At 47.7% G+C, this 21,923-nt stretch overlaps 1 long non-coding RNA gene, 1 other non-coding gene and 1 pseudogene across 2 annotated transcripts in view, besides 4 other annotated features; 2 read left to right on the top strand and 1 right to left on the bottom strand.

The window, feature by feature from the left end:
• The window catches only part of LOC105371814 (uncharacterized), a 34,124-nt gene extending 16,301 nt beyond the window's left edge, over positions 1-17,823 (top strand). The window contains exons 2-4 of the long non-coding RNA NR_135674.1: positions 6-436; positions 13,338-13,419; positions 17,644-17,823. This is a non-coding gene — a long non-coding RNA (uncharacterized LOC105371814). The remainder of the gene's footprint in view (positions 1-5; positions 437-13,337; positions 13,420-17,643) is intronic.
• Positions 4-463: an enhancer, noted in NCBI's record as "active region_12342". NCBI's record gives its function as "activates an Ori minimal core promoter by ATAC-STARR-seq in GM12878 lymphoblastoid cells {active_cell/tissue: GM12878}" and the evidence as "EXISTENCE:reporter gene assay evidence [ECO:0000049][PMID:35858748]".
• Positions 4-1,080: a biological region, named in NCBI's record as "H3K27ac-H3K4me1 hESC enhancer GRCh37_chr17:46968965-46969944".
• Positions 101-1,080: an enhancer, noted in NCBI's record as "H3K27ac-H3K4me1 hESC enhancer chr17:46968965-46969944 (GRCh37/hg19 assembly coordinates)". NCBI's record gives its function as "activates a minimal SCP1, AML or CMV promoter by ChIP-STARR-seq in primed H9 embryonic stem cells {active_cell/tissue: H9 hESC(primed)}" and the evidence as "EXISTENCE:reporter gene assay evidence [ECO:0000049][PMID:30033119]".
• Positions 11,716-11,843, bottom strand: LOC124900395 (small nucleolar RNA SNORA68). Its single transcript, XR_007065988.1, has one exon. It is a non-coding gene; the product is annotated as a small nucleolar RNA SNORA68 (small nucleolar RNA).
• Positions 13,492-13,591: an enhancer, noted in NCBI's record as "active region_12341". NCBI's record gives its function as "activates an Ori minimal core promoter by ATAC-STARR-seq in GM12878 lymphoblastoid cells {active_cell/tissue: GM12878}" and the evidence as "EXISTENCE:reporter gene assay evidence [ECO:0000049][PMID:35858748]".
• Positions 17,395-17,975, top strand: SUMO2P17 (SUMO2 pseudogene 17; annotated as a pseudogene).
• The last annotated feature ends 3,948 nt before the right edge of the window (positions 17,976-21,923 follow it).

Raw genomic sequence — 21,923 nt, 5'->3', positions numbered from 1 at the left:
CACAGGAGCTTCGTGGCAATTCCCGCCTCCATGCGGATAGAGGCGGGGCTTTCCTACGAGATCTGGATTACGATTGGCCGATCCCTGAAACGCTCGACCATAGAGTTGGCGGGACTCAGAGGTTCCATAACCTCGCGCACAAGATGGCGACCAAGGTGTACGCTGAAGAAAAAGGCGTGGGAGAGATGACGGGACGTGTGACGCAGTCAGACACATGACTTTGGCCCCGAGCCTTCATTCGGGCGCTTGGGCCACGGGGCGCGTTGCATGTTGGGATTGGTAGTTGCGCTGAGGGGGGGGGCCCAAGGACAGCTGAGATCCCGCGAGATATTCTAGGCCGGGAGAGCCGATGCCTTTGCAGTAATTCCCACCGTGGAGGTTTGTGGAAAGACCGCTTTCCATGGAGAGTAAAGGCCGGCTGGAAAGTCCCCAAGCGGTGAGCGCAGTTTTGTGGACCTCAGCCGGTGTTCAGCAGTCATGGACTATCATCCAGATGGCTTTCTAAAACATTTGTTGGGCCGGGTGCAGTGGCTCACGCCTGTAATCCCAGCACTTTGGGAGGCCGAGGCGGGCGGATCACCTGAGGTCAGGAGTTCGAGATCAGCCTGACCAGCATGGTGAAACCCCGTCTCTACTAAGAATACAAAAATTAGCCGGGCATGGTGGTGGCGCGTGCCTGTAATCCCAGCTACTTGGGAGGCTGAGGCAGGAGAATCGCTTGAACCCGGGAGGCCGAGGTTGCAGGGAGCCGAGATCGCGCCACTGCACTCCAGCCTGGGCAACTGAGCAGGATTCCGTCTCGGGGGAAAAAACAAACAAAAAAATTGTTTATTTTGTAAAAACAACACTGAAAGAATGAAATAATATCCCTATAGAAAAACGAGCAAAGGATAGGAACAGGCAATTCAGTAAGGAAGAAATATGAATTGCAGGAACGAATGTCAGCCTTCCTAATCAAAGAAATATAAGTTTAAACGCTCCGCTTAGTACTGCTCAAAACAGCAGAGTTCTTTTTATTAATGTGAGCCACACGCTCTCCTATATTGCTGGTGAGAGGATGAATTAGAAAACCTTCCTTGAAAGCAGTTTGGCAATATTTATTTTTATTCAAAGGCTGTGAATGGGCCATCCTCTTTGACCCAGTAATTCTTGAGTAACTAAGAGCCTTTAAGCTCTCCATCCACTTTTCATCCAGTAATATCACTTCTAGGAATTTATTTTGAAGAATCAGAAATGCAGATTCTTTTAAAAAGATGTGCATTTGCAGAGTTTGTCGAAATTGGAAACAAGTAAATGTTCCACTGACAGTAAAAGGTGAAATAAGTTATGATATTTTCACTTGATGAAATAAGCAGAAATAAAACAGGAAATAAAATCATGTGTTTTTTTTGAGACGGAGTCTCGCTCTGTTGCCAAGCTGGAGTGCAGCGGCGCTATCTCGGCTCACTGCAAGCTCCGCCTCCCGGGTTCACGCCATTCTCCTGCCTCAGCCTCCGGAGTAGCTGGGACTATAGGCGCCCGCCACCACGCCCGGCTAATTTTTTGTATTTTTAGTAGAGACGGGGTTTCACCGTGTTAGCCGGGATGGTCTCGATCTCCTGACCTCGTGATCCGCCCGCCTCAGCCTCCCAAAGTGTTGGGATTACAGGCGTGAGCCAGCGCGCCCGGCCATGTTTTTGAAGAATATTTTATTTTTATTATTATTATTTTTTGAGACGGAGTCTCACTCTGTTTCACACACTGTAGTGCGGTGGTGCGGTCTCTGCTCACTGCAACCTTTGCCTCCCCGGTTCAAGCAATTCTCCTGCCTCAGCCTCCCAAGTAGCTGGGATTACAGGCGCGCACCACCATGCCCGGCTAATTTTTGTATTTTTAGTAGAGAAGGGGTTTCACCATGTTGGTCAGGCTGGTCTTGAATTCCTGACCTCAAGTGATCTGCTCGCCTTGGCCTTCTAAAGTGCTGGGATTGCAGGCATGAGCCACTGCGCCTGGCCTTGAAGAAGATTTTATATTGAGAAATATTTTATAATGCAAAACTATGCATAGAATTGTGAAAAAATATGCATGGAAAAAGAATGAAAAAAATGTTGAAAATTAATAGTGAATTCTAGAGGGTGTAATAAATTGATTTATATTTTTATGAGTATGGGTACTTTATAATAGAAACATATTTTAAAAATTACACTAATCTGGCAATTCACAAGTCTGGACTCTTAAGAAAACTTTTTTTTTTTTAATAATTTTTTTGTTTTTAGAAACAGGGTCTCACTCTGTTGCCCAGGCTGGAGTGCAGTGGTGCAATCATCCCTCACTATTATAGCCTTAATCTCCTGGGCTCAAGTAACCCTCCCTCCTCACTCTCCCAAGTATCTAGGACTACAGGTGGGATCTTGCTATGTTGTCCAGGCTGGTCTCAAACTCCTGGCCTCAAGGATCCTCCCACTTCAGCCTCTGGAAGTGTTGGGATTACAGATGTGAGCTACCTGCACCTGGCCAGAAAAACATTTTCTTTTCTTTTCTTTTCTTTTCTTTTCTTTTTGAGATAGAGTCTTGCTCTGTCACCCAGGCTGGAGTGCAATGACGTGATTTCGGCTTACTGCAACCTCTGCCTCCCGGGTTCAAGCAATTCTCTGCCTCAGCCTCCTGAGTAGCTGGGATTACAGGTGCGCACCACTATGCCTGGCTAATTTTTTTGTATCTTTAGTAGAGATGGGGTTTCACTCTGTTGGCCAGGCTGGTCTTGAACTCCTGACCTCGTGATCTGCCCGCCTTGGCCTCCCAAAGTGCTGGGATTACAGGCATGAACCACCGTGCCCAGCACATTTTCTTTTTTTTTCTTTTTTCTTTTTTTGTGAGACTGAGTGTCACTCTTTCGCCCAGACTGGAGTGCAGTGGCGAGATCTCGGCTCACTGCAACCTCCGCCTCCTGGGTTCAAGCCATTCTCCTGCCTCAGCTTCCCGAGTAGCTGAGACCGCAGCGTGCGGGCCACCACGCCCAGCTAATTTAAAAATTTTTTTTTTTAGTAGAGACAAGGTTTCACCATGTTGGCCAGGCTGGTCTCGAACTCCTGACCTCAGGTGATCCACCTGCCTCAGCCTCCCAAAGTGCTGGGATTACAGGCGTGAGCCACTGTGCTGGGCCAGCACATTTTCATATCATGTGGAGATTTAAAATATCCTGCTAGCATGGTATAATTGAAAGTGTGTGGGAGGCCAAGGTGGGCAGATCATTTGAGCCCAGGAATTGGAGACCAGCCTGGGCAACATAGCGAAACCTCATCTCTCCAAAAAAAAAAAAAAAAAAAAAAAATTAGCTCGGTGTGATGGCAGGTACCTGTAGTCCCAGCTACTCAGGGGGCTGAAGTGGGAGGATCACTTGAGCTCAGGAGGTCAAGGCTTCAGTGAACTCTGATTGCACCACTGCACTGGCCTGGGCAACAAAGCGAGACCGTATCTCAAAAACAACAACGACAACAACAACAACAAAAAGGAGAGTGGAGTTTTGAGCTCACTACCATGGCTACAACACATAACTGGTATCTTCTGAGCAGATTATCCAGTCTTTCTTTGTGTTAGTGTTATAAGCTATCATTTATCGATACCTCATTATATGACAAATACTGTGCTAGGTGCTTTGAACCCAGGTCTGTCTGGGTCCAAAGCAAAAGTTCTTTTTTTTTTTCTTTCTTTTTTTTTTTTTTTTTGAGACGGAGTCTCGCTCTGTCGCCCAGGCTGGAGTGCAGTGGCGCGATCTCGGCTCACCGCAAGCTCCGCCTCCCGGGTTCACGCCATTCTCCTGCCTCAGCCTCCCGAGTAGCTGGGACCACAGGCGCCCGCCACCACGCCCGGCTAATTTTTTTTGTATTTTTAGTAGAGACGGGGTTTCACCGTGTTAGCCAGGATGGTCTTGATCTCCTGACCTCGTGATCTGCCCGCCTCGGCCTCCCAAAGAGCTGGTGTTACAGGCTTGAGCCACTGCACCCGGCCTCTCTTTTTTGTTTGAGATGGAGTTTTGCTCTTGTTGCCAGGCTGGAGTGCAATGGCGCAATCTCGGCTCACTGCAACCTCCGCCTCCTGGGTTCAAGCAGTTCGCCTACCTCAGCCTCCCAAGTAGCTGGTATTACAGGTGCCTGCCACCACGCCTGCCTAATTTTTTTTTTTTTTTTTTTTGAGACAGAGTCTTGCTCTGTCACTAGGCTGGAGTGCAGTGGCGCAGTCTCAGTTCCCTGCAACCTCCACCTCCTGGGTTCAAGCGATTCTCCTGCCTCAGCTTCCCCAGTAGCTGGGATTACAGGCACCCACTACCACGCCCAGCTAATTTATAGATAGATAGATAGATAGATAGATAGATAGATAGATAGATAGATAGGTAGATAGATAAATAATTTTTTTTTGAGACGGAGTCTTGCTCTGTTGCCCAGGCTAGAGTGCAGTGGCGCGATCTCGGCTCACTGCAAGCTCCACCTCCTGGGTTCACGCCATTCTCCTGCCTCAGCCTCCCGAGTAGCTGGGACTACAGGCGCCTGCCACCATGTCCAGCTAATTTTTTTTTTTTTTTGTATTTTTAGTAGAGATGGGTTTCACCGTGTTGGCCAGGATGGTCTTGATCTCCTGACCTCGTGATCCACACGCCTCGGCCTCCCAAAGTGCTGGGATTACAGGCGTGAGCCACCGTGCCCAGCCTGCATTCCATTTTTTCAACAACTTAGACCTTCAGTCTATGGTTCTCAGTCATTATCTTTGCACTAACTTCCAAGTTCCTTCTCCCTCTCTTCTGATTTAAAAAATTAAAAAATGTGAGGCCAGCACAATGACTCACACCTGTAATCCCAGTACTTTGGGAGGCCTAGGTGGGAGGATTGCTTGAGGTTAGGAGTTTGAGACCAGCCTGGGTAACATAGTGAGACCCCATCTCTACAAAAAATTAGTGGGGCGTGGTGGTACAGGCCTGCAGTCCCAGCTATTTGGTAGGCTGAGGTGGGTGGATTGCTTGAGCCCAGGAGTTTGACGGTGCAGTGAACTATGATTTTGCCATTGCACTGAAGCCTGGACAACAGAGCGAGACCCTGTCTTTAAAAAAAAGTCAAATGGGCTGGGCGTGGTGGCTCACGCCTGTAATCCCAGCACTTTGGGAGGCCAAGGCAGGTGGATCATGAGGTCAGGAGTTTGAGACCAACCTTGCCAACATAGTGAAACTCTGTCTCTACTAAAAATATTTAAAAATTAGCCGGGCGTGGTGGCAGGCACCTGTAATCCTAGCTACCCGGGAGACTGAGGCAGGAGAATTGCTTGAACCCGGGAGGCAGAGGTTGCAGTGAGCTGAGATTGTGTCACTGCACACCAGCCCTAGTGACAGTGCAAAACTCCGTCTCAAAAAAAAAAACAGTCAAATGGTACAGCCTTTTTTTTTTTTTTTTTTTTGAGACAGGATTTTGCTCCTTCAACCAGGCAGGAGTGCAGTGGCACAATCATGGGTCACTGCAGCCTTGACCTTCCAGGCTCAGGCATTCCTCCCACCTCAGCCTCCTGAGTAACTGGGACCACAGGCATACACCATCACACCCAGTTTGTTAATTTTTTGGTAGAGACTGAGTCTCACTATCTTGCCCAGGCTGGTCTCACTACTCCTAGGATCAAGCAATTCTCCTGCCTTGGCCTCCCAAAGTGCTGAAATTATAGGTGTGAGCTACTGCACCCAGCCCAATCTATTTCTTTTATTTTCTTTCTTTCTTTTTCTTTTTTCTTTTCTTTTCTTTCTTTTTTTTGAGATGGAGTCTCACTCTGTTGCCAGGCTAGTGTGCAAGGGTGCGATCTCTGCTCACTGCAACCTCTGCCTCCTGGGTTCAAGCGATTCTCCTGCCTCAGCCTCCCGAGTAGCTGGAACTACAGGCATGCGCCACCATGCCCAGCTAATTTTTGTATTTTTAGTAGAGACGGGGTTTCACCATGTTGGCCAGTATGGTCTTCATCTCTTGACCTCGTGATCCGCCTGCCTCAGCCTCCCAAAGTGCTGGGATTACAGGCATGAGCCACCGCTCCCGGCCAGCCCAATCTATTTCTTTTCTTTCTTTCTTTTTTTTTTTTTTTGAGATGGAGTCTTGCTCTGTCGCCCAGGCTGGAGTGCAATGGTGCAACCTCAGCTCACTGCAACCTCCACCTCCCGGGTTCAAGCAATTCCAGTTCTGCTGCCTCAGCCTCCCGAGTAGCTGGGATTACAGGTGTCTGCCACCATGCCTGGCTAATTTTCGTATTTTTAGTAGAGATGGGGTTTCACCATCTTGGCCAGGCTGGTCTTGAACTCCTGACCTCGTGATCCACCTGCCTTGGCCTCCCAAAGTGCTGGGATTACAGGCATGAGCCACCGCGCCTGGCCTCCCAATTTATTTCTATAATCAGTTTTGCACCTGCCAGCATTTTAGTGACCAAGACATGTTAATCTAATTTTATTGGTTCATTGAATTTTTCGAACACAAAATATTCCTAAATATACACACATATGTAGTATCAATTTTAAGGTATATTTCCTTATATATTACTGACCATTACAATTTCCCAATTTTAATTGATTGGCAATACCTACTATTAATCACTACTCATATGCAATAGTGGGAGGAAAAAAAAAGAGACATTCACAATAGCTACCATTAAGAAAAGGGACACCTCCAAGGAAGCACCATACTTGGCCATTGGTCCAGGAGCTGTGTTGTGTCTTGCTGGACAAGGCTGTACAGGTAGATGATAGAAGCAGCCAATGACAGAACCAACAAAGTTCACAAGCCTCGTTTTTATGTAACTCACTTCCTGGACAGTGAGTTCTTTGGTCCCTATGGTCTACCTGTTTGGAAGACTTCCCTTGTATAACAAGCATCCTTCAGGAATGCTCCAAAGACAAGCAATGAGTAGGGTTTCCTGTTGGGAACTGTGCAGTTTGAGCCATCCACTTCCTACGATTGCGGGAATCTTTTGTATGTCTGTCTGGGGTTGTCTTCCTGCAACATTGGCTTTAAAAAAATCTCAGGCCTCGGTTGGCCAGCACTATGTATTGTTTCTTCCTGGTGCTACAATTCCTAAAACACCTGATGGCTTGAGCATTTCATTTAGCGGGAGTCACTGCTAAAAAACTCAAACCAGGAAGCTTGTCTTCTTTGAGAATTTCCAGGCCTGGTAAGGATTCAGAGCAAGGCTTGCTTGGGGGGGTTCTTTTCTTTCTTTCTTTTTTTTTTAGAGACGGGGTTTTGCCATGTTGGTCTCGAACTAACTCCTGGCCTCAAGAGATCCATGGGCCTCGGCCTCCCAAGGTGCCAGGATTACAGGCCACTGCGCCTGGCCCGGGGTGGGGGGTGCTTTCATCCATCCCAGTTCCTCTCCAGTTAAGGGCCTTAGCCCCAGGGTATGGATGGTGAATAATGGGGGTGGAGGTGTCTCATGGGAGCCTTTCTCCCCTAATCCACTTTTTTGTTTATTTGTTTTGAGACGGGAGTGTCTCACTCTGTCACCCAGGCTGGAGTGCAGTGACTGGATCTTGGCTCACTGCAACCTCCGCCTCCTGGGTCCAAGTGATTCTCCTGCCTCAGCCTCCCGAGTAGCTGAGATTACAGGCGTGCACCACAACGCCTGGCTGATTTTTATATTTTTAGTAGAGACGGGGTTTCACCATGTTGGCCGGGCTGGTCTCGAACTCCTGACCTCAAGTGATCCGCCCGCCTCGGCTTCCCAAAGTACCGCACCGGGCCTCTAATCCATTTTGGAAGGTTAGTCTTACATGGTTGTTGCATTCCACAACTATCGGTAGATTATCTTTAAAAAGGGAAGCAATTTCACATTTGTCCAGCAGAGGGAGCTCAGTGGGAGCTACTTTGGAGAGACCCGAGGTTTGGGTTTTTCTTTTCTTTTTCTTTTCTTTTCTTTTTTTTTTTTGAGATGGAGTTTCGCTCTGGTTTCCCAGGCTGGAATGCAGTGGCGCAATCTCAGCTCACCGCAACCTCTGCCTCCCAGGTTCAAGCGATTCTCCTGCCTCAGCCTCCCTAGGAGCTGGGACTACAGGCCCGCCACGCCCAGCTAATTTTGTATTTTTAGTAGAGACGGGGTTTCTCCATGTTGGTCAGGCTGGTCTCGAACTCCCAACATCAGGTGATCCTCCCGCCTCAGCCTGCCAAAGTGCCGGGATTACAGGCGTGAGCCACCGCTCCCAGCACCTAGTTTCTTTCATGTCTTGCTCAAATCTTGCCTTTTCGGTGAGACCTGCCTGATCTCCCTATTTAAGATTGCAATTGTCTCTTCCCTAGTCTCTATGAACTTCTTACCCATATCATTATTTGTTATGTTTACTACTGTATTTTTCATCTTTATTCTTTCTATAATTTAAGCTCCTTGAGGGCAGGGATCTTTGCCTGTTTTGTTCACTGTGCTTAGGATAGTACCTGGCATGGAGTAGGTGCTCGATTAGTAAATTATTGAATTAATGAATCAATACCCTTATTCCAACAGCTAAGATCTGGCCAGATGCAGTAGTTCACGCCTTTAATCCTACCACTTCGGGAGGCCAAAGCATGAGGATCACTTGATCTCAGGATTTTGAGACCATATTGGGCAACATAGCAAGACCTCATCTCTACTTAAAAAAAAAAAAAAAAAGCCGGGCCTCAGGAGGCTGAGGTGGGAGGATCGCTTGAGCCCAGGAGATCAAGGCTGCAGTGAGCTATTATCGTGCCACTGCACTCCGGCCTGAGCAGCTGAGTGAGACCCTGTCTGAAAACAAAAACAAAGAAAATATCTTGCAGTTTTCTTTCTCTTTTTTTTGAGATGGAGTCTCACTCTGTCACCCAGGCTGGAGTGCAGTGGCATGATCTCAGCTCACTGCAACCTCCGCCTCCCTGGTTCAAGCGATTCTTCTGTCTCAGCCTCGAGTAGCTGGGATTACAGGCACCCACCACCACGCCCGGCTAATTTTTGTATTTTTAGTAGAGACAGGGTTTCACCATGTTGGCCAGGCTGGTCTCGAACTTCTGACCTCAGGTGATCCGCCTGCCTCGGCCTCCCAAAGTGCTGGGATTACAGGGGTGAGCCCATGCGCCTGGTCAAGGGTTACTTCTTTTCTTCCCCCAAGAGTGTGACTTTCCAGAGCACCTCTGTTAGTTTGATTGCCTTACCAAGAACCATGTTTTCTTCTTCTTAATCACTCACCGGTTTGGGCCCGGTGTTCCTCCTCTGCGATGTTCTGTGTGTCAGCAACTCACACAGAGGCAGAGCCTGAAGCGAGTGCTGGCCATTCCGTTTCCTTGCTACTGACTGGTTAGTAAGCGTCATGTATCTTAGGCTGGGTTCACTAGAGCATAGCCTGAAACCGGGATGCTTGTGCAAGTGATTGATGGACAGACTGTTCTCCGGAGCAGGACATAAGGGAAGCGGGGGAAACGGGGAAAGGGGAAGTAAGGATCTGATCTCATTTGGAGATCAGATGCAGCCTGAGCCCATGGGGAGCTCCAGAGCATGAAATACTCCCCTCATGGAGCAAGGGGACAAGCTTTTGCCCTCTTGGAGGAAGATAGTGCCAATTCTGATACGTTTATTTTCTTCTGTTTTTTTTTTTTTATTTTTTATTTTTTTAGAGTTGGGGTCTTTCTCTATTGCCCAGGCTAGAGTGCAGTGGTGCAATCATAGCTCACTGCAGCCTGGAACTCCTGGCCTCAAGCGATCCTCCCACTTTGGCCTCTCAAAGTGTTGGGACTACAGGCGTAAGCCACTGCGCCTGGTCTATTTTGCACTCCCACCAGCCAACTATGAGAATACCTATTTCCCACACAGCCTTGCCACAGAGTGTATGGTTGAGCCTTTGAATTTCTGCCAATGTGATTAATGTAAAATAGTCTCATAGTGTGGTTTTAACTTGCATTTCTCTTCTAAGTGAAGTTCAGCATATTTTCACATATGTAAAGGCCATTTGTAGCCCTTTTTTGTGTGAGTAAACCATCACCTAATGCCTTTTGCCCACTTTTCTAACAGGAAAGGATTATTTTTAAAAAACATGCTGCATTAATTAAAGGTACATGGTAATCTGCTATAACAAAGAGGCACCAGAATCCAGGGGCTTAGGTAAGATAGATCCGAAAGAAGATCATTTATTTTTCATGTAGCAGTAAGAGGTGAGCAGCCCGGGGTTTTCAGAGTGACTCTGCCATCCTCAACATGTGGCTTCCATCTCTGTGGCTAAGGTGGCTACACCAGGTGTTACCACTTCTCAATCAGCAGGAAGGAGAAAAATGAAGAGCAAGCAACTTTCTTCCTTCTAAGCATGGGATCTAGAAGTTGCACAGCTCCCTACTGCTCACCTTCCATTGGCCAGAACTTAGTTTCATGGCCACAACTAGTTGCAAGGAGGGCTATTAAATCCAGTCTTTGGCTGGGCCACCATGTATCCTACAAAAGCTTAAGGATGGGCTTTCCATTACTCTTTTTTTTTTTTTTTTTTTTTTTGAGATGGAGTCTCACTCTCTGTCGCCCAGGCTGGAGTGCAATGGCGCGATCTCTGGTCACTGCAACCTCCGCCTCCCGGGTTCAAGCGATTATCCTGCCTCAGCCTCCTGAATAGCTGGGATTACAGGCATGTGCCACCACACCCAGCTAATTTTTGTATTTTTAGTAGAGATGGGGTTTCACCATGTTGGCCAGGCTGGTCTCGAACTCCTGACCTCAGGTGATCTGCCTGCCTCGGCCTTCCAAAGAGCTTGGATTACAGGCATGAGCCACTGTACCCAGCATTTTTTTTTTTTTTTAAAGACAGGGTCTCTCTCTGTTGTTGCCCAGGCTGGAGTGTAATGGCATAATCATAGTTTACTGCAGCCCCAAAGCCCTGGGCTCAAGTGGTCCTCCTGCCTTGGCCTCCCAAAGTGCTGGGATTACAGGCGTGAGTCACCTCACCCAGCCAGTGCATCATTAAGTGACTTTCTCAAGGTCTCGCAGCCAGTTGATGGTGAAGACAGGATTCCTGTCCAGGAAGGAAACTCGAGTGAAGCAGGAATTGTTAGGGAGATAGGAGAGCCACAGGTGTTCTGGAAGCTCTCCTGGCTCCTCTTAGCATGCTCTGCTCCCTTGTCTCACCTGTACTCCCACCTGAAAGTTCCCCACCCACCCTGGCCTCATCATCTCAGCACTAATGTCTTCAGCTGAGACCACCTGAGAGGCAGGTACTGTGTCTCAGTGTCTGAGATCCTGGTCCTGGATATGCCTGATTCTCTGAATGGCTGGGTCAGGCCTCCCTCTTGTTTGGCACAGAGTTCTGGTCAGAGCATCACGTCCTGTTTTGTTTGGTTTGGTGTTCTTGAGGAGTTTATTTGGTCACACCCAGGGTGAGAGGGCCCTTCACCTGTAAGATGTCGGGCCTCTTGGTGGTGACACGTGGCTTGTTGCTGGCCACAGAGGACCCAGTGAGGCAGCAGGAACTCAACCTTGGAGTCATGGAGCTGTGTGACTGCTGGCCAGTTGCACTTGCTGGCTGCAGTCTCCTCCACCTTCATGATCTGGATGAAGTGGGCCCAGGTGCGGTGCTGGGTGCCCGCGTCTCGGTCTGCAGAAAACGGGAGAGGGCAGGGTGACTGCAATCACTGGGATCTGGGCATTTGACAAACCTCATATCAAGTACCTGGCACATTCTGTCAGGCACAGCAATTGCTTGGGAGCTCCCACTTGGGATTAACTGGGGGACTGGGTGACCATGAGTGGCGTAGAACCTCCAAAGTCACTTTGAGGGGCCCAACCACAGCCCCTCAAAGGCGACAAGATCTTCCTGTTTGTTCCTCTGTTTAAACCACTGCTGCAAGAAAAAGAGTCTTAAGTTTAAGTGCGACATGTCCTACTTTTGTTTTGTTTTTTTGTTTTATATATTTTATTTTTTGCTTTTTAGTTTTTATTTTTTGAGACGGAGTCTCACTCTGTCGCCCAGGCTGGAGTGCAATAATAGCATGTGATCTCGGCTCACTGCAACCTTCGCCTCCCAGGTTCAAGCTATTCTCCTGCCTCAGCATCCTGAGTAGCTGGTATTTCAGGTGCCCATCAGCACACTGGGCTATTTTTTTTTTTTAATTTTTTTTTTTGAGATGGAGTCTTGCTCTGTGGCACAGGCTGGAGTGCAGTGGCGCAATCTCGGCTCACTGCAAGCTCTGCCTCCCGGGTTCACACCATTCTCCTGCCTCAGCCTCCTCAGTAGCTGGGATTACAGGTACTCGCCACCACACCTGGCTAATTTTTTTTGTATTTTTTAGTAGAGACGGGGTTTCATCGTGTTAGCCAGGATGGTCTCGATCTCCTGACCTCATGATCCACCCGCCTCGGCCTCCCAAAGTGCTGAGATTACAGGCGTGAGCCACCGCGCCTGGCCTATTTTTTGGATTTTTATTAGAGATGGGGTTTTGTCATGTTGGCCAGGCTGGTATCAAACTCCTGACCTCAGGTGATCTGCCCGCCTCACCCTCCCCAAGTGCTGGCATAAGCCACCGCACCCGGCTTTGTTTTATTTTTGAGACGGAGTCTCTCTCTCTCTCTCACCCAGGCTGGAGTGCAGTGGTGCGATCATGGCTCACTGCAGCCTTCACGTCCTGGGTTCAAGTGGTCTTCACACCTCAGCCTCTCAAGTAGCTGGGACTACAGGCTCATGCCACCATGACCTGCTAATGTTTGTTTTTTTTTTGTAAAGATGCAGTCTCGCTATGTTGCCCAGGCTGGTCTTGAACTCCTGGCCTCAAGTGATCCTCCTGCCTTGGCCTCCCAAAGTGCTGGGATTACAGGCATGAACCACTGGGCATGGCCTGTTTTCTGTTTTTTTTTTTAAGAGACAGGGTCTCACTATGTTGCCCAGGTTGGAGTGCAATGGCTATTCACAGGTGTGATCATAGCTCACTGCAGCCTCAAACTCCTGAGCTCAAGCAGTCCTTCCATCTCAGCCTCCCGAGTAGCTGGGAGTACAGGTGAGCACCACCACACCTGGCTCACTTCCTGTTTTTTGAGTGGGAGTTTCACTATCTGGTCCCACCTGCCTCTCTAGCTGGGTCTTGACTGTTCGGTACTATGCATGCTCCAGCTTTGCCACACCTCTTGCTGGCCCTCAACAAGCCTGCATTTCTACACTGCCATTCCTTCTGCCCCGAATGCCTTTCCTCCCCAGCACTACATGGCAAACTTCTACACATCCTTCAAGGCCCATCTTGAATGCCACCTTCCCTGTGATGACCTCCCCTATTGCCCCAGACTTATTTCCTTGCCTTCAGTGCTCCCATAGAACTTGGTGCACATCTACTCCAGTAGTCATTGCACAGAACAGTAATCATTTGTTTATGTGTTTGCAGTCACTGCTACAACATGGTGACCTCCTGGAGAACAGGGACGTGTGGTGTTTCTCTTTGTATTTGTCTTTTGTTCCCAGAACAGGTAAGTACACGGTGCCGGGTATAGGTAGGTACTCGCTCAATAAATGTGAATGAGTGAACGAGTGGTGGGGTTGATCTTATCCTGAAAGAGGGAGCTCCCCACCTGCACTTTCCTGTAGCAATCTCTAGAGGGCAGTCTCACACCATGCTTGTCTTCTCTAGCCTCCGCCCAAGTTGCTTTTTTTCTACCATAGACAGCTCAGATAGATATGGGTGGGTGGATAGATGGATGGAAGGATGGACAGATGGACGAATGAACGAACGGATGGATGGATGGGTGGATGAATAGATAGATAGGGTGGGCATGGTTCACATGGGCTCTGGAGTTGACAAGCTCTGGGACCAGGGAATCCAACCAAGTCAGCCTAAGCACTGGAGGGACTGCTGGCCCATCCCTTAGACACAATGGCTTAGGAGCTAGGGCTTATTATTGAAACCTGGAAAAAAGTTATTGTTTTCAAAATAAAAAAGACAGTTGCAAAATGGCATTGGATAAATATTGAAATAAATGGCTACAAAACAAAATCTCAACCAACTGCAACTCAACTCAGTTTGTATATATAGTTTATGTATAAACCACATTTCAGGCAGGGCATGGTGGCTCACGCCTGTAATCCCAGCACTTTGGGAGGCTGAGGTGAGCGGATCACCAGAGGTCAGGAGTTTGAGACCAGACTGACCAACATGGGGAAACCCCATCTCTAATAAAAATACAAAAATTAGCCAGGCGTGGTGGCACTCCAGCCTGGGCGACAAGAGCGAAACTCCATCTCAAAAAGAAAAAAAAAATTCTGTGGGATGTCAGTGCATTTTAATATTTTTGACATGATGTGGGCACTCCTTAAAGTGTCAAGGGCCCTTGACTTCTTGGAAAGGCCCTGCAAGGAGCAAGCAGAATGGAACCCAATACTCCCCACCAGAGGGCTCAGGACTCTGTTCATTATAAGTCCCAGTGCTGAGTCTGAGGCTGCAGGTCCAGTCCCTCTTCCTGCTGAGGGCTCTGGAGCCAAGCCCACGAAGATAACATTCAGTAACACAGGCTGCCCTCAACCACAGTCTTTCCTAATCTCAAGGTAAGATGGGAGAGGGGTGGTGGTATTTCATTTACTTAAGCTCCTACATGGGGGAGATACTGAATAGGAAGAGGCTGTCTCCTGGGACTGCTGGCTCGGGGGTGGAATGGACAGGAGACAAGAACAGAACCAAGTGTCGTGTACGCATGCCTGTAGTCCTGGCTACTCAGGAGGCTGAAGGTGGGAGGATCACTTAAGCCTGGGAGATTGAGGCTGCAGTGAGCCGAGATTGCACCACTGTACTCCAGCCTAGGTGACAGAATGAGAGCCTGTCTCCAGAAAAAAAAAAAAGTCAAGATTCAAGGGCATCTGATGTCAAACCTAGTGCTCTTAATCACTACATCATAATCATACCCTCTTTCAGAGTGACCTGCCCAATTTCACAAAGCTGTTAATCAGGTGGCAGGGAAGAACACGTATTGAGTGCTTACAATCAGCGTGTGTCAGGCGCTGCTCTAAATGCTCTACCCATTTTAACTCATCTAGCTGTAGCAGAGACTATAATTGTCAATGCCATTTTACAAATGGGGAAACCAAAGCCAAGAGCGGTTGAGTGACTTGTCTAAAGTTGCCACCAGACAGTCTAGTTCCAGAGTCTGGGCTCTTCACCATGATGACCTACTAGCCTGTCTACTTTATGGAGGGACAAGGTTTGGGGTTGTCAAAACTCGGGGTCAAAAATGACAGGACAAATGGAATAGAGGATGGGCAGGATGGATGCAGGGGTATGTGAGGTATGTGAAAGAGGTGAAACATGAAGGAGAACCCAACCACAGATGTTCACAGATGTTCTCTGCTGTTTCCTCAGTAGGAACTCAATGCTGAGTTCCTATCGAAACTACTGACAGCATATCTCCCCAAATATCATTTCCTTAAAAGGCATTTTGTCAGTGTCCTTTTTTTTTTTTTTTAAGAAATGGCGTCTCACTTTGTTGCACAGGCTGGAGTGCAGTGGTGTGATCTTGGCTCACTGCAACCTCAGCCTCCCAGGTTCAAGCAATTCTCCTGTCTCAGCTTCCTGAGTAGCTGAGATTACAAGCACTTGCCACCACACCCAGCGAATTATTGTATTTTTAATAGAGCTGGGGTTTCACCATGTTGGCCAGGCTGGCCTCGAACTCCTGACCTCAAGTGATCTGCCCGCCTTGGCCTCCCAAAGTGCTGGGATTACAGGCCATGCTCAGCCTGTCAAAGTGTCTTACTTAGCAAATACAGCTGCTTTGCAAACAGGGGTTCCTTTTTCCCTTGTGACTAGGGCCACTGTTCTGCCAGAATGGCTATCTAGTCCTCCAGATAGGGTTAGGAGCCACTTTGTTGAGAAGGATATGAGCAAGATGGCTGTGCAGGGGGAATGACTGGTGTGGACTTCATCAGAGATTGAATTAAGTGATGGAAAGGGAACGTTCCATGGCTCTCGTCCCTAATAGAAATCTATTCAGGGTCTTTGGCATCAGCACTAGGTTTCCTGACTCAAAGGGAAGTCATAAGGACAGGTTTACAGAGGTAGAATGATCCCATTTGGAGAAAGGAGAACTGGAAAGAGACACAGAGCATCTGTAATTAAGTGCAAGAGCTCTGAAGTTGGACTGCCTGAATTAAAATCCCAACTCTGTAGGCAGGGCATGGTGGCTCACACCTGTAATCCCAGCACTTTGGGAGGCTGAGGCTGGCAGATCGCTTGAGCCCAGGAGTTTGAGACCAGCCTGGGCAACATGGTGAAACCCCGTCTCTACAAAAAATACAAAAATTCTGGCAGAGCGCGGTGGCTCATGTCTATAATCCCAGCATTTTGGGAGGCCGAGGTGGGTGAGACCAGCCTGGCCAACAAGGTGAAACCCTGACTCTGTCTCAAAAAAAAACAACAACCAAAAAACACAAAAATTCACTGGCCATGGTGGTGCACACCTATAGTCTCAGCCACTCAGGAGGCTGAGGTGGGAAGATTGCTTTAGCCCACAAAGTAGAGGCTGCAGTGAGCTGAGATCATGCCACTGCACTCCAGCCTGGGCAACAAAGCAGGACTCTGTCTCAAAAAAATAAAAAAATCCCAACCCTGTATGACCATGCGTGATTTACTCAACCTCTCTCCGTGACCCATCTGTGAAATGGATTTATTCATAACTTTGTTAATTATCACATATTAACGATTAATGTTTTGTTGTGGGGGTTAAAATCATCAAATATGAAGTGCTTAACACAGTGCTTACCATATAAGCACTCAATGCCTACTTTTTTTTTGTGAGACGGAGTCTGGCTCTGTTGCCCAGGCTGGAGTGCAGTGGCGCGATCTCGGCTTACTGCAAGCTCCGCCTCCCGAGTTCACGCCATTCTCCTGCCTCAGCCTCCGGAGTAGCTGGGACTACAGGCGCCCGCCACCATGCCCAGCTAATTTTTGTATTTTTAGTAGAGATGGGGTTTCACCATGTTAGCCAGGATGGCCTCGATCTCCTGACCTTGTGATCCACCCGCCTCGGCCTCCCAAAGTGCTGGGATTACAGGCGTGAGCCACTGCGCCCAGCCTATTTTTTTTTTTTTTTTTTTTTTATTGAGATGGAGTTTTGCTCTTGTTGCCCAGGCTGGAGTGCAGTGAGTGGTGCGATCTTGGCTCACTGCAACCTCTGCCTCCTGGGTTCAAGCGATTCTCCTGCCTCAGCCTCCCGAGTAGCTGGAATTACAGGTGCGCGCCACCGCACCCGGCTAATTTTGTATTTTTAGTAGAGACGGGGTTTCACCAGGTTGGCCAGACTGGTCTCGAATTCTGACCACAGGTGATCCACCCATCTCAGCCTCCCAAAGTGCTGGGATTACAGGCATGAGCCACCGCGCCCGGCCCAATACCTACTATTTTATCCAAATTAAAAGGAGATGTTACACTTAAAATTTTGTTAAGAAGCTAGATCTCGCCTTCTTCTGCCGCTTCTGGTGCTGCTTGTGTGCTCATTTGGTGCGGACCTGGTACCTCTTTTGTGAAGCGGCAGCTGAGGAGACTTCAGTGCTCGCCATGGCCGACGAAAAGCCCAAGGAAGGAGTCAAGACAGAACAACGATCATATTAATTTGAAGGTGGCGGGGCAGGATGGTTCTATGGTGCAGTTTAAGATTAAGAGGCATACACCACTCAGTAAACTAATGAAAGCCTATTGTGAACAACAGGGATTGTCAATGAGGTAGATCAGATTCCCATTCGACGGGCAACCAGTCAATGAAACAGACACACCTGCACAGTTGGAAATGGAGGATGAAGATACAATTGATGTGTTCCAACAGCAGACGGGAGGTGTCTACTGAAAAGGGAACCTGCTTCTTTACTCCAGAACTCTGTTCTTTAAAGACCAAGATTACATTCTCAATTAGAAAACTGCAATTTGGTTCCACCACATCCTGACTACTACCGTATAGTTTTCTCTGTTCTTTCATTTCCCCCTTCCCCATTCCTTTATTGTACGTAAAGTAACTGGTATATGTGCACAAGCATATTGCATTTTTTTTTTTTAACTAAACAGCCAATGGTATGTTTTGACTGACATCAAGGGGAGACGGGATGGGGAAAAATACTGATTCTGTGAAAATACCCCCTTTCTCCATTAGTGGCATGCTCATTCAGCTCCTATCTTTATATTCCAGTAAGTTATTTTGCTCTCACTGTTTTAACAACAACAACAAAACAACAACAACAACATAAAAATCCTTGCATACCTTGTTCAATTGGAGAATTTTAATGTTTTTCATTTATCATTGTAAAACCAAGGACAATTTTATAACTTTTTTGTACGTAGCTGTTACATGTAGGGTAATCTGTCTTTAAGTAAGGATAAATTACTCTAAAACAAAAAAGAATCCTACATAGTTTTCCCTTCAAGTCAAGCGTCTTGTTGTTTAAATAAACTTCTTGTTTAAAATGAAAAAAAAAAAAAGAAGCTAGATCTCACATTGTGTTCTTACCACAATAAAAACAAAGTTATGACAGATAAGTAGGTAGTCAGCAGAAAAACAAACAAACAAAAAAAAAAAACAAAGAAAAAAGAAAACAAAGTTAACTCAGAAAAAAATAAAAGGAGATTATACACGGCAGATGTGGAACACAACAAAAATAATACTGTTGTTCACTATGTGTTAACAGGGACTGAAGCTGGCTACAGAAAGAATGTCCCAGCAACAAAGAGTGGGAAGCCCTGAGCAAATTGTTAAAAGCTCCTTCTCAGTTTCTTCCCAAGAGAAGTTTTCATCTCAGGGGTGGTCATTTCTGGAGGCAGGGGCCTGCAGGAGACACCTTGGTAACAGGCAGGTCTGTTTGGCTTCCTGAATCCATGACAGTTGATAAGCAAGGCCCCTTCAGATGCTCTGTTGGGCATTGCCTGGAGTGTGTAACCAGATGGAGTGCCTGCATTTCCAAGATCATTTATAGCTGTTTCCTGTACCCGAGTAAATTTTTTATTTTAAAGGTGCCTCCTGGCCTGACCCAAATTTCGGCTTAACATTAGCAGTTACTTCTCTTTGGCTGAGCAGATGAACTGCAAAAACTCCCAGAGTGAAAGAGGGAAGGAGGGTGGGGTTGGGTGAGGTGGCAGGGATGGGTTCCGGAAGATGGGAGGTGGGCCTGGTTCATCACCAGGGCCTCTCTGGTAAACTGGAAGGCCAGGCAGGCTACTGGCAAAGAAAGAGTTACTGACCATCAGCTGAAGGGATGGCAAGCAGTGAAGGAGGCTCTGGCCCAGCAATTCTTATCTTCAGGAAAGTTTAAGAGTCATTGTCACTTGCAGGGAATTTCCTGGACTATGAATTTTATTGCAGAGAGGACAGAATGGCTGGGTGGGAGGAAGTTAGCCTCAGGCTCCACACCCACCCCTCCCATTCCCCCACAGCTGGGTTTGCTGTTTCTCCAAACAATTTAGTGTTAACAACATAAACCCTGGTCCAGCCTGACCTTCTGCAGCTGTGCGGCCTTCAAGTCTTTATCCTTGCTAAGCCTTGGCTCCCTCATCTATAAATGGGCTTAATAACAGCACTTGCTTATAGTAAATGCCGAATATATGTTGGGTTTGAATAATGATGAGGAAAGCTGGGGCCAGAGATTTGCACTGAGGAGAATGAACAGAAATCTGTCCCTGTTCTTCTTCTTCTTCTTTTTTTTTTTTAGACGAGTCTTGCTCTGTATCCCAGGCTGGAGCGCAGTGGTGCAATCTCGGTTCACTGTAACCTCCACTTCCCGGGTTCAAGTGATTCTCGTGCCTCAGCCTCCCAAGTAGCTGGGATTACAGGCACCCACGACCACGCCCAGCTAATTTTTGTATTTTTAATAGAAACGGGATTTCACCATGTTGGTCAGGCTGGTCTCGATCCCTTGACCTCAGGTGATCTGCCCGCCTCGGCCTCCCAAAGTGCTGGGATTACAGGCATGAGCCACCATGCCCAGTCTGTCCCTGTTCTTGGGAGTTGATTAGAGGAACAAGACAGGCATGCATCAAAATAAATGCACTTGGTTGCCTCGTCTAATCAATGGTGCAAAAGCACCAATCTTGAAAACAATTTCTAGTTACACCTTGTAGTATATTTTGGGTTCTTGTTTGTTTGTTTGTTTTGGAGATGGAGTCTTGCTCTGTCGCCCAGGCTGGAGTGCCTTGGCATGATCTTGGCTCACTGCAAACTCCACCTCCTGGTTCAAGCAATTCTCCTGCCTCAGCCACCTGAGTAGCTGGGACTACAGGCACCCACCACCTCGCCCAGCTAATTTTTTGTATTTTAGTAGAGATGGGGTTTCACCCTGTTGCCCAGGCTGGTCTTGAACTCCTGAGTTCAGGCAATCCGCCTGCTTCAGCCCCTCAAAGTGCTAGGATTACAGGCATGAGCCACGGTGCCTGGCCCCTTGTAGTACATTTTGTCTTCCCAGTCTATTTTGAGATGTTATTCAAGTAAATGTGTGTCCCCAGGGCTCCAGCAGGCTCACAGCAGGAAGCAGCAGTCAGGAAGTACAAGGTGGCAAGCAGGACACTGGGTCAGAACGTGTTCTGGACCCACTGGCAGGTGAGGTTTGCTGAATTCTACACAACAGCAGCTACCACGTCCCTGTGTTCTGGAGCCAGGGAAGGCTTCCAGACAGAAGGGGCTTCTCCCTGTAATTTGAGGGAGATTATTGGCTCAGGCAAAGGTGAGAGGGTTTAAAGAGGAAAAAAAGAGAAGAACCGAGCAGCCTCAAGCTGGAGAAAGCCCTGGGGACCTTGTAGAGATCCTCTTCTGGGGACAAAGACCATGAGGGGTCATAGGTGGCAGAGCAGTGCACAACATCCCAGGGAACAGATGTTGAAGATGGATTAGACCCTGACAACGGATGTGAAATATTGACCCAGCGAAAAGTGCCTGGTGTTTGCACAGGCCAAATCAGTGCAGCAACTTCCATGGGAGGAGGGGCCGGAAAGTACCCAGGTCCAAAGGTCACTCTCCACACTCCCACACACTCTCCCAGGGCCCACAAGTCAGTCTCCAGCTCAGGGAGGATTTAAAGGAGGACGCGTGTGTTGGAAATCAAGGCAGGCATTCACGGGCATGCACGCACACATGCACACAGTCTTTTTTCTTTCCTTGAAGGCTCACCTAGTTCTGTTTGTGTTAAAAAAAAAAAAAAGAACACTCACCTAGGCCAGGCATGGTGGCTCACACTTATAATTCCAGCACTATGGGAAGCCAAGGCAGGAGGATCACTTGAGGCCAGTTCAAGCCCAGCTTGGGCCACATAGCAAGACCCTGTCTCTACAAAAATTTTTAAAAAAAAATTAGCCAGGTGTCATGGCATGTGCCTGCAGTCCCAGTTACTCAGGAGGCTGAGGGAGGAGGACTGCTTGAGCCCAGGAGGTCGAGGCTGCAGTGAGCCATGATCACACCACTCCTGCCTGGGTGAGATAGAGTGAGATACCATCTCAAAACCCAAAAAAACTCACAAGCTCACCTATATATAGAAACAACTAGATGTACTGGGTCGTGGTGGTATATGCCTGCAGTCCCAGCTACTCCGAGGCTGAGGTGGGAGGATCACTTGAGCCCAGGAAGTGAAGGTTGCAGTGAAGTATCGTGTCACTGCACTCTAGCCTGGGTGACAGAGTGAAACCCTGACTGAAAACAATGTTTTAAAAAATGGATGGAAATGCTAATAATTGTGTTTGGTTGATGTAACTATACTTTTGTACTTCATGCATTTCAAGTGTTCTTTAATGAGAATAAATTTTTTTAAAGAGAGAAAAAAGCTTATCTGCCTGTCAACATTAAGTTCCTAAAATCAAAGGTTTCTTTCCAGTCCTACCCTACTAGTATTTGACACTATTGAACTCATTTTCTGAAACTATTTCCTTGCTTGGCTTTCAGCCTTCCCATTTTCTCCTGGTTTTTCTTCCCTTCATGGATGGCTTCTGGTCCCCTGCCTGACTCCTAAAGTTAGCATTATT

This window comes from Homo sapiens, chromosome 17, assembly GCF_000001405.40.
Source record: "Homo sapiens chromosome 17, GRCh38.p14 Primary Assembly".
Taxonomy (NCBI): Eukaryota; Metazoa; Chordata; class Mammalia; order Primates; family Hominidae; genus Homo; species Homo sapiens.
Note: the sequence above shows the minus strand (reverse complement) of the source record. Positions and strands in the feature narration are given on the sequence as shown.